A 15,808-nucleotide genomic window follows, 5' to 3' on the forward strand; every position below is an offset into this window, starting at 1 on the left:
TTCACCATGTTGGTCAAGCTGGTCTCGAACTCCTGACCTCATGATCTGCCCACCTTGGCCTCCCAAAGTGCTGGGATTACAGGCATGAGCCACTGCACCCAGCGATAATGCCTCTTCTGAATCTACCAAACTTGATAGGACTCACTCTTTTTAATCTACTCCTAGTACTTCTACAGAACTTAAGAAAGCTCTTGTCTCTGTACCTAGATTTCTATGTTCCAAGAAAACCATTTTCCCAAGTCAATCAGAATATTATGGCAACAGTCCAGATTTCAGGCCAAAAATGCCACCAATTTTCCCTGAATCTCTTGGGCAAGACAAGCAAAAGATTTCTTTTAGCCTGACAGCAGTTTTATTTTACAATGCATAACAGGTATTACCTGCTTTGCCCTTTCTCTTTCCATCAAAATTGCCTCAGTGAGGCTAGCCAATGCATTTGCGAGCAAAGTTGTTATTTCCAGTTTTACCAACTTGTCCCAACCTGTACAAGCAATCACACTGGAGAAAGGAAACTTGTACCACCAGAAGATGGAAATGAGTTCAACCCCAAACTGGGATCTGAGTCTGTGTATTTCAGATTATCCCTCAATTCTTCTCCCAACTTGGGTTGCAGAGTGATGGTTCCTGGAGGTTCCTCAGGACACTGCTCTAAGGAACCCCGACATCTAGTTATTTCATGAGTATTTCCAGAGCATTTGCCTGGTTTAGAGATCTGTGCTTAGCCTCCCATTATTGGGGACACAGGAAAAATTAAGCCCTGGCCTTCGAGGAGCTCACAGTTCAGCCAGGAAGGCAGCTGGCCACAATACACAACCTGCACACAAATAACACGAATAAAAGGCCTGGGGTGGGGCGCTGGCTGTGGACTGAGAAGAGACTTAATCTCAAGGTTTCAAGTTCAAACACAGGAAATAGAGCGTGGACAGGGCAGATTTGCAACCCCATTCTGGAGCTTGTGTCTTGTGTTCATGAGGTCTTCATGTCTAAACATCTAGGTTCTCAACTTTGGGAAACAGGGAGATGGACTTTTTGTTCTTGTTGAGTTAGGGCTCACTGTGTCACCTCGGCTGGAGTGCAGTGATGTGATCTCGGCTTACTGCAGCATCAACTTCCTGGGCTTAAGCAGTCCTCCCACCTCAGCCTCCTGAGTAGCTGGGACTACAGGCACGTGCCACCATACTGAGCTAATTTTTAAATTTTTTGTAAAGATGGGGTCTCGCTATGTTGCCCAGGCTGGTCTGGAACTCCTGGGCTCAAGCAATCCTCTCACCTCGGCCTTCCAAAGTGCTGGGATTACAGGTGTGAGCCACCATGCCAGGCCAAGGTAGACTTTTTGAGAATCAGATGAGTATTATGGAAACTTGTCCCAGAAAAGGTTCACATGATAGACACACAAATATTTGCAAATAATTGCAGAAAATTCATGGGCTGCATCCCTCCAAAATTATTCATAAACTTATAAACTTTCAAGAGTACACAGTAAGATTATAATAATTAATATTGAGCATTTTCTGTATTTCATGGTCTGACTTAACCTCCATGCATATGTTCTTTTCTTTAATCCTCACAACAAAACTATGGCATACAAAGCATTGCTTCCATGGTACAGCTGGGGAAACAGAGGCTCAGAGAAGTTACTCACCCCAAACTCATAGAAAGTGGGTGGATTCATGTCAAGTCAAGCAGCCAAGTCTGTGCTGTTTCAAATAACAGCTGAATGAAGTGGGTCCCATTCATCACCCTACCACCACTATTTTAAAGATGAGGAAACAAAGGCCTTGGGTGGTGAAATAACTTGTCTGAGGTCATGTGGACCACAAATGAAGAGCCTTTGACACAGAGGAAGACAGAAGGTAGATAGATGCTTTGAAATCCCAAATGAAACACATTTGTGTGGAAGGTTCTTGAAGCAAAATCCTTCGAGCCTGGCTTGCCCCTGGGGTAGTTGTTTCTGTCTGGTGGGGTGCAAGGTAAGGCTATAATCGGCATGACCTAGAGCATCTGAAAGATCAGGAAGGAGCCCAGAGCCCCAGCCAAGGTGAACGGGAGCTGGAGGAGACTCTCTGTGAGAGCCACATGCCATCCTGGAAGTTCTGAAGCCCAGGCCAGAGCTTGACACTCCAATCCAAACGGACAAAGGGGAAAGATGAGCAGTGACTCTCTGACATGTAGGAGATGACAGTGTGTCACTGGGTGGTCAATCTGCAGTATGCTGTTATCAACCATAACTTCAACCCCAGCACATGGGGAGGTCATTCATTCCTCCAGGGATGCAAAGAAGCTGGGACAAAATGAGAGAATCATCACTGGCCAGAACCAAGCATCTGCAACAGCTGTTTTCAGAAAGTCAACACTTTCTTCCACAAAGGGTGCAAGGCTTCAGTCATGAAAGATATGTAAGCTCTATAGATCTAGTGTGCAACGTAGGGCATATGATTAAAATACTCCATACTTAAAAATGTACTAAGAGGGTAGATCTGATAAGTACCCTTAGCACAAAAGGAAAACAAGACAAAATGAACAGAAAAACAAAGGTGGCAAGAGGAAACATTAGGAGGTGATGAATAAGATTACGGCATAGCTTGTGATGATGGTTTCATGGGTGTACACAGAGCTTCAAACACATCGGGTTGTATACACTACATTTCTACCGCTTTTGTATGTCAATCATATCTCAATAAAGTGGTTAAAAACAAAGAAACAAAACAAAACAGAAGCTAGTCACAAGGAACCACATATTAAATAATTCTGTTCATATGAAACATGCAGAAAACAAATCAATAGAGACAGAAAGTAGATGAGTGGTTGCCAAGGGCTTGGGATGAGATGGGGGACTGAAGAGTGATGACTGAAGGGCATAGGGTTTCTTTGGGGGCTTCCAAAAACTGTCTGAAATTGATTGTGGTGACAGTTGTATAATGCTGTGATTATACAAAAATTATTGAATTGTATACTTTAAGGGAATTGAATAGTGTGTAAATTATATTTCAATAAAGCTGTTTTTAACAAAATAAAACATTTCTAAATGCTTCACTTGGAAATGTTTTCAAGTCAGTGGCAATACTTCAGTCTCACCATATTTCAGAATGGCAGTGGTAGTGACCACCACACCTGCCAGGCTTGATGCCAAGGATGTTGGCTGTTTCCAAAAGTCAAGTTCATTTTCAGAGGATAAACACCTGCCAACAGTAAAGACAGTCGGAAAATGTGGCTCTGACAGCAAGAGGTTACTTCAGATAGGATCAATCAACAATGCTCTATTTTCACTTGTGTGTGAATCTCATTTCTCATATTAAATCTAAAGGAGACAGGATAGAGCGATGGTTAAATTATAAACTTTAATGGCAAAAATATCCCTGCCCGGCCATTTGCTAGTTATGTGACCTTGAATACATTCTTAACATGCTCTTACAGCCTCAAGTTTCATCCATTTTATGAAATGGATAATATTGATTATTTCAGAAGTGTTACTGGGAAGATTGAACAAAATTACGTGTACAGAGTTTGGCATAGGATAAGTCCTCAACAAAATAGTAGTTATTATTTTTACTCTAAACTTGTGAGGACAAGGACCTTCATGTCCTTAGAATATCCAGCTCAATGTCTAGACATTAAAGCATTTAATGAATAAAGATACCATTTTGAAATTGTATGGCACAATTTCTCCCACAAAAGGCTCTCCACTGATCTATCCATTTGAGCAACAATCCAACATACAACTAAGCAGATTTTTTTTTCCTCCAGGCCAAGGAAAACCATGTGACTCTCCTAGAATTATTCCTGAACCTGTTATGTGTGAGGGCTCTCTGTGCAGTTCAGAATTTACAATTATTTCTACTGAAAACAGAAATAAAACACATTTTTTCCTAGTAGCAGAAAGAACAGAGACACCCCATCTTGTCTCATTTTGATCTCATAAAATACATAGAAAAGAAAAACAAACAAAAACAAAACACTTCAACTGTTCCATTGCTGTGAACTCCAACTGAGTTAAAGAATCCAACAGAACAGAAACCATTGTCTTACTTGTCCAGTTCTCCTCACAGAGCAAATAATTCAGGAACAGGAATCAGAAAGACCCTGCACCCAGCACACTGCCTGGCACAGCATAGCCTCGGTAAGTGACTGTTAGTAAAATCTCATCATTATTTAATGGCAACTTGTAGAAAAACAATATATCACCATTATGTGCTAAAGCCCTGAGAAGGCAGGATCAGCTCTTCTTCCTTCCTCCTCCCCAAAGCACTCTACACCCAGAGCTGGGTAAGCCAATAACCACACTACCACCATCTCCATTGATCCTACGTGGTGGACTTGGCAGAATGTTTCCTTTAAGGTTCCTGGCTTCAGCCTTTCAGAATGTCTGCTCTTGACAAGGTGGAGCTTCTCATGCCAGGGATTGCGAGGGTCAGGGAGGTGGCAGGTGTGTGGCGAGGGGTGTATGTCTCCATGAAAGGAACCAACTCCAAGCAGAAGTGGATGTTGACATCCAGGAGCTTGGGTTTCTCTGATTGTTGACTTTTTTGTGTATCATTTATGTAGGAGGGGGCAGATGAGTGACATCGCATGAGTATACTGGATGACATGTCTACGCAGATGCAGTGATCCAGTTAATTCAGTGAAGCATCTGTTTTCTGTAACTCACCCACATAATAAAAGTCACACAGTGGAAGCTTTTGTAATTTTGGCCCTGGGCTGCAGGGAAGATCTCGATATCATGGCTGGCACCGTCTCTGAGGGCTTGAACTCCCCCTTGGTTCTTGCCCACCAGTTGCAGTTCAGTTCTTAGTTTATCCTGGAGGTCAGCCTCATAACCTGTAGACCAAATCCAGAGTGTGGCTGGGTCTGCTTGGCTTCTGTGGTGTTGGGCAGCATGGGGCTATTGAGAATTGGTGTGTTTGCCGAAATATTTTATCCAATTTTTTAAACCGCTTTATTGAGATATAATTGACATACAAGAAGCTATAGATATTTAATGTATACAACTCGATGTGTTTGGAGATAAGCATACACCCATGTAACCATCATCACTACCAATATTAATGCCATAAACTTTTCCATTATCTCCAAAAGTGTCCTTCTGCTGCCTTTGGGTTTTTTGGTTTTCTTTGTTTTTCTTAATCTACCTTCTTAGCAAATTTTTTAAAACACAATATAGTGGTGTTAATCATATGCCCTATATCGCACAGGAGGTTTCCAGAATTTACTTATTTTGCACACTGAAACTTTACACAAATTGAACTCTTTGGCCAATACTTCCCCATTTCCCCTTCCCTCCAGCTCCTGGCAACTACCATTCTATTCTCTGCTTCTATGTGTTTAACTAGTTTAGGTTTTATACAGAAGTGAGATGAGGCAGTATTTGGCTTCCTGTGTCTAGCTTATTTCACTTAGCATAATGTCCTCCAGGTCCATCCATGTTGTCATAAATGGCAGGATTTCCTTCCTTTTTACGGCCAAATAATATTTCATTATATGTGAAGTTGGCCCTCCATGTCCGTAGGTTCCACATCTGCAGATTCAATCAACCATGGATCAAGAGTATTGGGGGGAAAAGCAACAAAAAATAATGCACATTTTAAAGCAATACAATATAACATCTATTTACATGGCATTTACATCATATTAGTTATTATAAGTAATCTAGAGATTATTAAAAGTAGACAAGACAATGTGCATAGGTCATATGCAAACACTACACCATTTTATATCAAAGACTTGAGCATCTGTGGATTTTGGTGTCTGGGTGTCTGTAACCAATCCCCCTCAGATTTGGGGGATAATTGTTGCATCACATTTTCTTTATCCATTCACCCACCAATGGACATGTAGGTTGTTTCCATACCTTGGCTATTGTGAATAATGCCGCAATGAACATGGAAGTGAGATACCTTTTTGAGATCTGGATTTCAATTTCTTTGGATATATACCCAGAAATGGGATTGCTGGATCCTATGACTCTATTTTCTAGTTTTTTATTGTTGTAAAATACACATAACATTAAATTTACCATCTTAACCATTTTTAAGTGTTCAGTAGTATTAAGTACATTCATATTGTTGTGCACTCATCACCATCATCCATCTCCAGAAATTTTCATCTTGCAAAACTGACACTCTCTACCCATTAAACAATAACTCCCCATATTTCCCCTCTCTCCAACCCTTAGCAACCACCATTATACTTCCTGTCTCTATGATTTTTATGCCTCATTTAAGTGTAATAACACCGTATCAAATTATTTGTGACTGGTTTATTCCACTGAGCATAGCCATCCTCATGGCTCATCCATGTTGTAGCATGGGTCAGAACATCCTTCCCTTGCAGAGCTGCATAATATTCCATTGTGTGGATAGACTACATTTTGCTTATCCATTCATCCATCAATGGGCACTTGCAGATGTATTTTAGAATTTGGAGACGTGCACTAAAAGCCCAGATTTCTGACTTTCCTTGAAAGCTCAAGAGATCTGATAATGTGATGCCCTCATTCTCGAATGGCAGCAATGTGGCTGCATCTGCCCTTTGAATGAGCTCTGTAGTCCCCACCATGCCCTGGTGTAGCTCATGTAGCTCTGTAGTCCCCACCATGCCCTGTTTTCTACCTAACTCAGTATGTCACCCATGTGTATAACCTGCTGGATTTTCATATGAGTATGAATCACTGCCCCTCCCTATGTAAATCCCACCACCGGACTTTTATTTGACCTCAGTTTCCAGGCCAACTGTGCATTTAAGGAAGACTCCACTTTACTGGTGTGGTGTTGTCCGGCTCTGAGGACCAGACCAGAAAGTGAAGATGTCAACCACCTGGAATCCTACCTGGAGTCTACCACACAAGCCCCATCATCCTCGACTCACTTGATATGTCCAGGATGCTCAGAAGCTCTCAGTTATGACACCCCTGAGTGATCCCCTGGCACTGGAATCTTCAGGGACCTTGAGAAGGAAAGCAACCAATCCATTTATCCATCACCTTGGTCCTCAGGGGACAGCGCTCATAATTGTAGCTATGCCATCTCTCTGTTTTCACGTTGGGCTCCACTTAACAATTCCCATTAAATAGAAAAAGCCCTCTAGCAGGCAACATATTCATGAACTTGCCTTGGTAGCACATTCCAACACTGAAAAACCCTCTGTATTAGAGACTTTTTCATATCCAACCAAAATCACATTTGGAGTAAAGACATTTCATCTGAGCAGATCCTCAGAAGAAATATGAAAGAACTGCTCACTGCTTCCTTGAGAAACACACCCCTTTGTAGACAAAATACTACTGCAGCCTTCTCTTCTAAACAGTAAATCTTATTTCTCAACCATTTAATAATTCTTGAGGCTCTCACCTGAACCTTCTTTGAGTTCTCTGCATCTTTCTGGGTTCATATAACTCAAAACTAGTTGCAGAATTCTAGCAAGTTTCTGGGCAGTACTGAATATAATGGATATTACTTCAGTTTCTAATTGTGTATTCTACTTTTGTACTTGATTTCCAAACCAGAGCACTGTATTATTAACTCATGATCAACCCAGGGTCCACGTGATTTTTTAGAGTTTTTCAGCTCCACATGCATCTACCCTGTCATTGCCCATGACAGACTTAAAAGGTTGGATTTTTTCTCTGCAAACACAATGCCCTTTGCTTGTGTTTTCTGAACTTTGCTTTTGTTGGTTTCTCTCCCCATCTCTCAGCTACCAAGGCCATTTTGAATTCTAAATCCATAGCAAGAGACTGATTCCTGTTGTCCTCATCAGAGTTTAATGAAGTCCTGTGGCGTTTGTGAGGCATGCTGTCTCTCCTATCATCGCCTTCCTGAGAGCTCCTTCCCACCTTCAGCGATGGTGGCTCTGTGATTAACCTCTTCCAACCACTTATGCAGGCCAATCTTTTGTGAACTTTGTTAAGCTAATTGCGGTCCAGGACCATGAGCATCAGCATTATCTGGGAGCTTTTCAGAAATGCAGAATCTCAGGCCTCACTCCACACCTGCTGAGTCGGAATCTGCATTTTAAGAGCACCACCAGCTTATTCATATGGAGATTGAAGCTTGAGAAGTACTGATTTATGTTATCCAATGTTATTATTGATAGGATTATTATTGGGGGAGGAAATGGAAAGCTTTTCCCAAATTATAGCAATAGGTATCAATTTCTATGTCCACCAATATGTCCCAGAAGAGTTGCTAGTTTTATGAGACAAATTTGTTAGAAAGTAAAGATACTATAATTTCAATGGAAATGCATGTCAATTCAACATTTACTGAGTACCTAGTGTAGACTGAGCTATTTGTTGTGAGAGATGCAGATATGCACAAGCTAGTTCTTGTCTTCATTAACTTGCAATCTGGCAGGGCACATACACTGAGAACTCTAACATGCGTTGAACTCTAAGTGGGTTAAACACACGTGCTATGCATTCAAAGGAGGAGGACTGTGTCAGTATTAGCTCCCAAAGAAATAACAATTCGCTTTTTCTCAGGGAAGGTCTTCAGTAAAACATGGTTTGTTCTCTGGTAGCCATGTACACAGTTTGCAGTGCTGTCCCCTCCATAGATGACTAATTTCACTAAGAAATACAAGAAGAAAGCACATGCTCCCATCAGCACATCCATCACTTCTCTTTTCCCCCACCACAAAGAATTATTTTTTCCAAAATGTCCATAATGCTGAGGTTGAGAAACTCAGTGCTAGATCACTCTCATTCAACACCCAAATATGATATAGTATCCCTGTTATGGACTGAATTGGGTCCCCCCAAAATTCTTTCTCTGCTCCCATCTAGGGCCAGTCATTACACTGAATTCCATCTCCTGCTGTCTATTCAAAGACTTTGTGCTTGCAATTATCTGCTCTTTCTCTCTCTTGCATCATTAATTTCCTTTCTACTCCATCAGTGGTTCTCAACCGAAAGCAATTTTGCCTCCCCACTCCAAAAGAAACATTTGACAATGGGTGGGAACATTTTTGGTTGTCACTGCTGAGTTGTGCTACTGGGATGCAATGGGTAGAGCTCAGGGAAGCTGCTAAACACCTCAGGATGCACCGGACAGCCCCCACCACAAAGAATTATTTTTTCCAAAATGCCAATAATGCTGAGGTTGAGAAACTCGGTGCTAGATCACTCTCATTCAACACCCAAATACGATATAGTATCCCTGTTATGGACTGAATTGGGTCCCCCCAAAATTCCTATGTTAAAGCCCTAATCCCCAAAGTATCAGTGTGACTGTATTTAGAAATAAGTCTTTTAAGGAAGTAATTAAGGTTAAATGAGGTAATAAGGGTGAGACTGGTGTCCTTATAAAAAGAGAAAGAGATGCCAGAGCATTCTCTCTCTCTCTCTCTCTCTGTGTGTGTGTGTGTGTGTCTCTCTCTCCTCATACACACAGAAAAGGGTTCTCACCAAATCACAACCATGCTAGCACCCTGATCTTGGATTTCCAGCCTCCAGAACTGTGAGAAAAAATATATGTCTGTTTTTTAAGCCACCCAGTCTGTGGAACTTTCTTATGGCAGCCCCAGCAGAGCAATACAATCCCCATATTAAATAATCTTCAGTTGATGCCCATCAACTGATGAATGAATAAACAAAAGGTGGCATAGCCTTACAATACTATTGTATTAGTCCATTTTCACACTGCTATAAAGATACTACTTGAGACTGGGTAATTTATAAATAAAAGAGGTTTAATTGACTCACAGTTCTGCATGGCTGGGAAGGCTTCAGGAAACTTAATCATGGCAGAAGGAAAATGAGAAGCAAGCACCTTTATCACAAGGCAGCAGGAGAGTGTGTGCAGGGGAAACTGCCACTTTTAAACTATCAGATCTCACGAGAACTCCCTCACTATGATTAGTACAGTATAGGGAAAACTGCCACAATGATCCAATCACCTCCCACCAGGTCCCTCCCTCCACATGTGGGGATTACAATTAGGGATGAGATTTGGGTGGGGACACAGAGCCAAACCATATAATTCCACCCCGATGCCTCCTAAATCTCATATCCTTTTCACATTTCAAAACCAATCATGACTCCTCAACAGTCCCCCAAAGTCTTAACTCATTCCAGCATTAACTCAAAAGACCACAGTCTAAAGTCTTTTCTGAGACAAAGTCCCTTCCACCTATGAGCTTGTAAAATAAAAAACAAGTTAGTTACTTCCAAGATACAATGGTGGTACAGGCATTGGGTAAACGTTCCTGTTCCAAATGGGTGAAATGGGGCGAAACAAAATGGCCACAGGCCCTATGCAAGTCTGAAACTCAGCCAAGCAATCATTAAGTCTTAAAGCTCCAAAATCTCCTTTGACTTCATGTCTCACATCACATCCAGAGCATGCTGATGCAAGGGGTGTGCTCCCACAGCCCTTGGCAGCTGCATCCCCGAGGCTATGCAGGGTACAGCCCTTGCAGCTGCTTTCATGGGCTGGTGTTGAGTGCCTGTGGCTTTTCCAAGTGCACAGTGCAAGCTGTCAGTGGATCTACCATTCTGGGGTTTGGAGGATGGTGGTCTTCTCAGAGTTCCACCAGGAGTGCCCCAGTGGGGACTTTGTGTGAAAGCTTCAACCCCACATTTCCCCCCTACATTGCCCTAGTAGAGGTTCTCCATGAGGGCTCTGCCCCTGCATCAGACTTCTGTCTGAACATCCAGGCATTTCCACACATCCTCTGAAATCTAGGCAGAGGCCCCCAAAGTTCAACTCTTGTCTTCTGCACATCCACAGGCCAAACAAGGCTTGGGGCTTGCACCCTCTGAAGCAACAGCCCAAGTTGTACCTTGGCCCCTTTCAGCCCTGGCTGGAGCCAGAGTGGCTGGGACTTGGGGTACCAAGTCCCAAGGCTGCACAAAGCAGCAGGGCCCTGGGCCTGGCCCAGGAAACCATTTTTCCCTCCTAACCTCCTGGCCTATGATGGAAGGAACTGCCTCAAAGATCTCTGACATGCCCTGGGGGCATTTTCTGCATTGTCTTGGCTATTAACATCTGGCTCCTCTTTACTTATGAAAATTTCTGCAGCCAGCTGGAATTTCTCCCCCAGAAAATATTTTTTTTTCCTACTTCATGGTCAAGCTGCAAATTCTCCAAACGTTTATGCTCTGCTTCCCTTTTAAACAAAGGTTTCAATTTCAAATCATCTCTTTGTGAATGCATATAACTACATTTTCAGGAAAAACCAGGTCACCTCTCGAATGCTTTGCTGCTTAGAAATTTTTTCTGCCAGATACCCTACATCATCTCTCTCAAGTTCAAAGTTCCACAGATCTCTAGGGCAGGAGCAAAATGCCACCAGTCTCTTTGCTAAAGCATAGTATGAGTGACCTTTACTCCATTTCCCAATAAGTTCCTCATCTCTATATGAGACCACCTCAGCCTGGACTTCATTGTCCATATCACTATCAGCATTTTGGTCAAAACCATTCAACAAGTCTCTAGGAAGTGCCAAACATTTGCACATCTTCCTGTCTTCTGAGCCCTCCAAACTGTTCCAGCCTCTGTCTGTTATCCAGTTCCAAAGTCACTTCCACATTTTCAGGTATCTTTATAGCAGTGCCCCACTCCCGGTACCAGTTCCCTGTATTAGTTCATTCTCACACAGCTGTAAAGAAACTACTTGAGACTGGGTAATTTATAAATAAAAGAGGTTTAATTGACTGACAGTTCCACATGGTTGGGGAGGCCTCAGGAAACTTACAATCATGGCAAAAGGAGGAGAAGCAAGCACCTTTGTCACGAGGCAGCAGGAGGGAGACAGTGTGCAGGGGAAGCTCCCACTTTTACACCATCAGACCTCCTGAGAATTCCCTCACTACCATGAGAACAGCATGGCAGAAACTGCCCTCATGATCCAGTCACCTCCCACCACACATTGGGATTACATGGCGATAAGATTTGGGTGGGGGGACACACAGCCAAATTATGTCAACTATTCAGCAATAAAAAAGAACAAGATACTGATACTTGCCACAACATGAATGAATCCCATGTTAAGCAAAAGAGACCTGACACAGAAGACAATATATTGTATGATTTCATTTATAAGACCTTCTCATGGGAGTTGAATCTATAGAGGCAAGAAGTATATTAGCATTTGCCTAGGTTTGGAGGTGGGAACTGGATTAACTCCAAGTGGGCAGAAAGGACTGTGTTGGGGTGATGGAAATATTCTAAAACTGACTTGTGGTGATGTTTGCACCATAAACCAGTACATTTATAAAAAATCATTGAATTGCATACTTAAAGTAGCTAGATTTTGTGGTCTGTAAAATATACCTCAGTAAAGGTGTTTAAAATAAAGTTAAATTAAATTTACAAAAGTATTTTAAAATCTCTCCATCCCCCTTTTCTCTCCAACTACCAATCCATTTCTGAGCTTCTATTTACAGCAAAACTCGTTCAGAATGTTATATAATGAAGTATTCCACATTCTCACCCTCGTCCCCACCCCTCCACATACACTAGCTCAGTCAACCAGGCTAACATTAGTCTCATCAAGTCATAAAGACCTTCACATTGCCAAATCTGATGGGCAATTTCCAGTATCACCTTACCCCCTCTCAACATTTCATGCCTGGGATCATCCTCAGGTCTCTTCCGTGTCTACAGTCACCCAACTGGTCTTTTTCCTTCATGGCACTCATTTCCTATTTCTTACTGGAAACAGTAAGGGATTGGACATAAGACATGGGTTTTATTCCTTCCCGTGGGTTCAAATACCATTTACACACTCTAGACCCTAAATTTATATCCCCACGTCACTTTCTCCCCTGAGCTCCAGATGGCCTGGGCTGAGCCTGAGTAAATCTCATCTTAAATGTCTAGTAGGCATCTCAAACTAAAGTTGCTCGAAGCTGAGCTCTTTAGTCCCTCTCTTCTCAAACCTGTACCCTCACCAGTTCACCATGTCTCAGTAAACAGCACCATGATTCACCCAAAGACTGAGGCCAAAACCCTGGAGTCATCTTTGACTTTGTACCCTGCCCCTACACAGTCCACAGCAAATCCACTTTGGTCTCATTCAAAATACTAGCAACCTAACCACAGTCACCCTCCACTGCATTCCCTTTGCCAAGCTGCCATTGTCTCTTGCCTGGACTGGTACAGTAGCTTCCTAGGTAATATGTCTTCCACCTTGCTTCCTAGACTCAATTTCCCACACAGCAGTGCTATGGTTTGCATGTGTCCCCCAAAAATATGTGCTGTAAACTTAATCCCAAAGTAGCCATTGATGAAACCATGAGAGCTATGCCCTGGTAAATGGATTAATGCTGTTACCACAAGAGTGGGTTCATTATTGTGAGACTGGGTTTCTTATAAAAAGACTAATTTGGCTCTCTCTTGCTCTCTCTCTCTCTCACTCTCTCTTAGCCCTTCTGCCATGGGATGTTGCAGCAAAAAGGTCTTTGCCAGATGTAGGTCCCCGATCTTGGACTTCCTAGCCTATGGAACCATGACTCAATAAATTTCTGTTCATTATAAATTACTAAGTCTGTGCTATTCTGTTACAGCAGCACAAAACGGATTAAGACAAGCAGCTGGAGCAACACTATTAAAATGTAAATAGCGTTCCCCCCTGTTCCCCCAGTAGGGTCAGCCTGCCTTCTTTGGAGATGATGGCAAATTTAGGGGGTGAGGACAGTCACCCTGTCCTGAGGGGCCAACTAGCTACAGAAGATAAGGACAAATGCACATGTAATAGTGAGCAATCACAGAGGGCAGTAGAGGATACATGTGGCCCAGCAGGAGGGGATGTTGAGGCCAACGAGAAGGCCCAAGAAAGACAGGCAGCTGCAGTGTTTCCCCTTGCTGAGACCATGGTCTGGGGAGCCCTTTGAGTGGATCAAGTTCCAGAGGCAGAGCTATCTTTAAAAAAGAAAAACAGAGGCCAGGCACAGTGGCTCACACCTATAATCCCAGCACTTTGGAAGGCCAAGGCGGGCGGATCACCCGAGGTTAGGAGTTTGAGACCAGCTTGGCCAACATGGTGAAACCCTGTCTCTACTAAAAGTACAAAAATTAGCCAGGCATGATGCGGGTGCCTGTAATCCCAGCTACTCAGGAGGCTGAGGCAGGAGAATCGCTTTAACTTGGGAGTGGGAGGTTGCAGTGAGCCAAGATGGCACCACTGCACTCCAGCCTGGGCAACAAGAGCGAGACTCCGTCTCAAAAAAGAAAAGAAAAGAAAAGAAAAACAGATAACATGAGCAGTGGATGGATGCTGCTGCATCCCACAGCCCCCAGTGCCTGTGCAACAGGCATGCTCAGCGCCTCCACAGGGACCTGCAGTGGCACGAAGCTGGGGAGACTTCAGTATGTTTATGAATATACATACCAATGTCTGACTTCCTCCAGATCAGTAAAAGAGGAGAAGGGGCTGATGAGCGCACTGTGATTCAATAGCGACTGCGGGCATTGCATGACCAGCCCCAGTGTTCCACTGCTGGCACTCACTGCTGGCCTGGTCAGCCACAGGCCGTGAGCTGCATGCAGCATGAGGCCCAGAGTGGCAGGAGGCTCCTCCCCTTGAAGTCTGTCAGGCTCTGTCCATGGCTGAGAGAAACAGCAGCTACACTTGAAGCTTGCCACTGGCCACATCCCTTTCCAGGCACCTAGGAAGACCTCTTTCATACTAGGAAAGCCTCACTTTATCTCCTGAGACCCTGAGCGTCAGTGCAGCAGTATCCGAAGCACCCAGCCGGGGACGCAGTGGGCACAGCTGGATTGCAGAAGGCAGGAAGAGGTCAGCAGCCACAGAGCTCCAGAGAAAGGCATGGGATCCAATCAGCACGAGGACACTCTGCATGGTCCGTGAGGTGTCTGAGGCCACCTCTTCTGATGGCATCTGCTGGGTACAGGGAAGGGAGAATCCAGCCTGCGCCCCACACACATACTCTGCTGATGGAATGTCCACCGTATCCACCCCAAGCACAGGAGCCTCTGCAGCCACCAAGTTTGCAGGGCTTGCCAAAGGGGCCACAGCAGGGGCTGTGGGCACTGCAGGTGCGGTGGGTACACAGCACCCAAGGCTGCAGGCCCAGGCCAGGCAAATGCAGCAAGAACAGGAACTGCCACCCAGAAGAGGCAACTCAGGGACTGTGTGGGAGGGGCGGCCGGCAGGTCTTCAGAGAGAGGGCAGCGCCAGCATGGCCATCACGGGAGGAGAGAGGACCAGCAGGTCTATTTGGGGGCAGCTGAAGGTGGGGAAGCCAAGAACCTGGAGCCTTGGCTCATCCTTGCTCAGTGAAGGCGACAGGAGCAAAGGAGGTGGAAGCCGGAGAGGGCCACACCCAGAAGGAAGGAGAGGAGGGCGGAGCTTCCAGGAAGGAGAGCGCAGTCACCCTAAAACCACCCCCCAGCTGCTCCTTGGCCAGCTGTTCCTGGGGAGAGAGATGCCGAGAAGAAGCCTGGAGCAGCCCACAGGTGCAGACTCGGTTCCTCTCTTCACCAAACCACCAACAGCTGAAGAGTCTGGGACGTCTTCCAAATCGAGGGGAGCTGACATGGCCAGTCCAGCTCTACAAGTGACAGACTCAGAGGGGTCAGCTCTTCCTGAGGGACTTCAAAGCCAGCCCTCCTCAAAGCAATCAGTGGTCCCACCAAAGGGGTAGGCCGTGGAGAACAACACTGTGGAGCCTTCCTGGAGAGAGTGGAGGGTGGTTAGGGGCTAGGGTTTCTGCTACAGGGATGTTGGAGACCAGGGCAGCTGTAACCTTGGAACCCCATTAAGCTGGAGCCACAGCAGGAAGCTGCAGTTCCTGGACAGGTGCCGGGGAAGCCGGTCCAGCTCTCCCGCCACAGGCTCAACCCAGGAT

General features: G+C 44.4%; 1 long non-coding RNA gene across 4 annotated transcripts in view, besides 1 other annotated feature; it reads right to left on the bottom strand.

The window, feature by feature from the left end:
* LOC105374894 (uncharacterized) overlaps window positions 1-15,808 on the bottom strand; it is a 154,998-nt gene that overhangs the window by 67,198 nt on the left and 71,992 nt on the right. Inside the window, exon 3 of one of the 4 annotated variants that reach the window (XR_926409.3) lies at window positions 1,339-2,281. The exons of the other annotated variants lie outside the window; for them this stretch is intronic. This is a non-coding gene — a long non-coding RNA (uncharacterized LOC105374894). Of the gene's footprint in view, window positions 1-1,338; window positions 2,282-15,808 lie in introns of those variants that run through there. 4 annotated transcript variants of the gene reach the window in all.
* Window positions 7,546-8,231: an enhancer, noted in NCBI's record as "OCT4-NANOG hESC enhancer chr6:4503825-4504510 (GRCh37/hg19 assembly coordinates)". NCBI's record gives its function as "activates a minimal SCP1, AML or CMV promoter by ChIP-STARR-seq in primed H9 embryonic stem cells {active_cell/tissue: H9 hESC(primed)}" and the evidence as "EXISTENCE:reporter gene assay evidence [ECO:0000049][PMID:30033119]".

This window comes from Homo sapiens, chromosome 6 (assembly GCF_000001405.40).
Source record: "Homo sapiens chromosome 6, GRCh38.p14 Primary Assembly".
NCBI classification, from domain to species: Eukaryota; Metazoa; Chordata; class Mammalia; order Primates; family Hominidae; genus Homo; species Homo sapiens.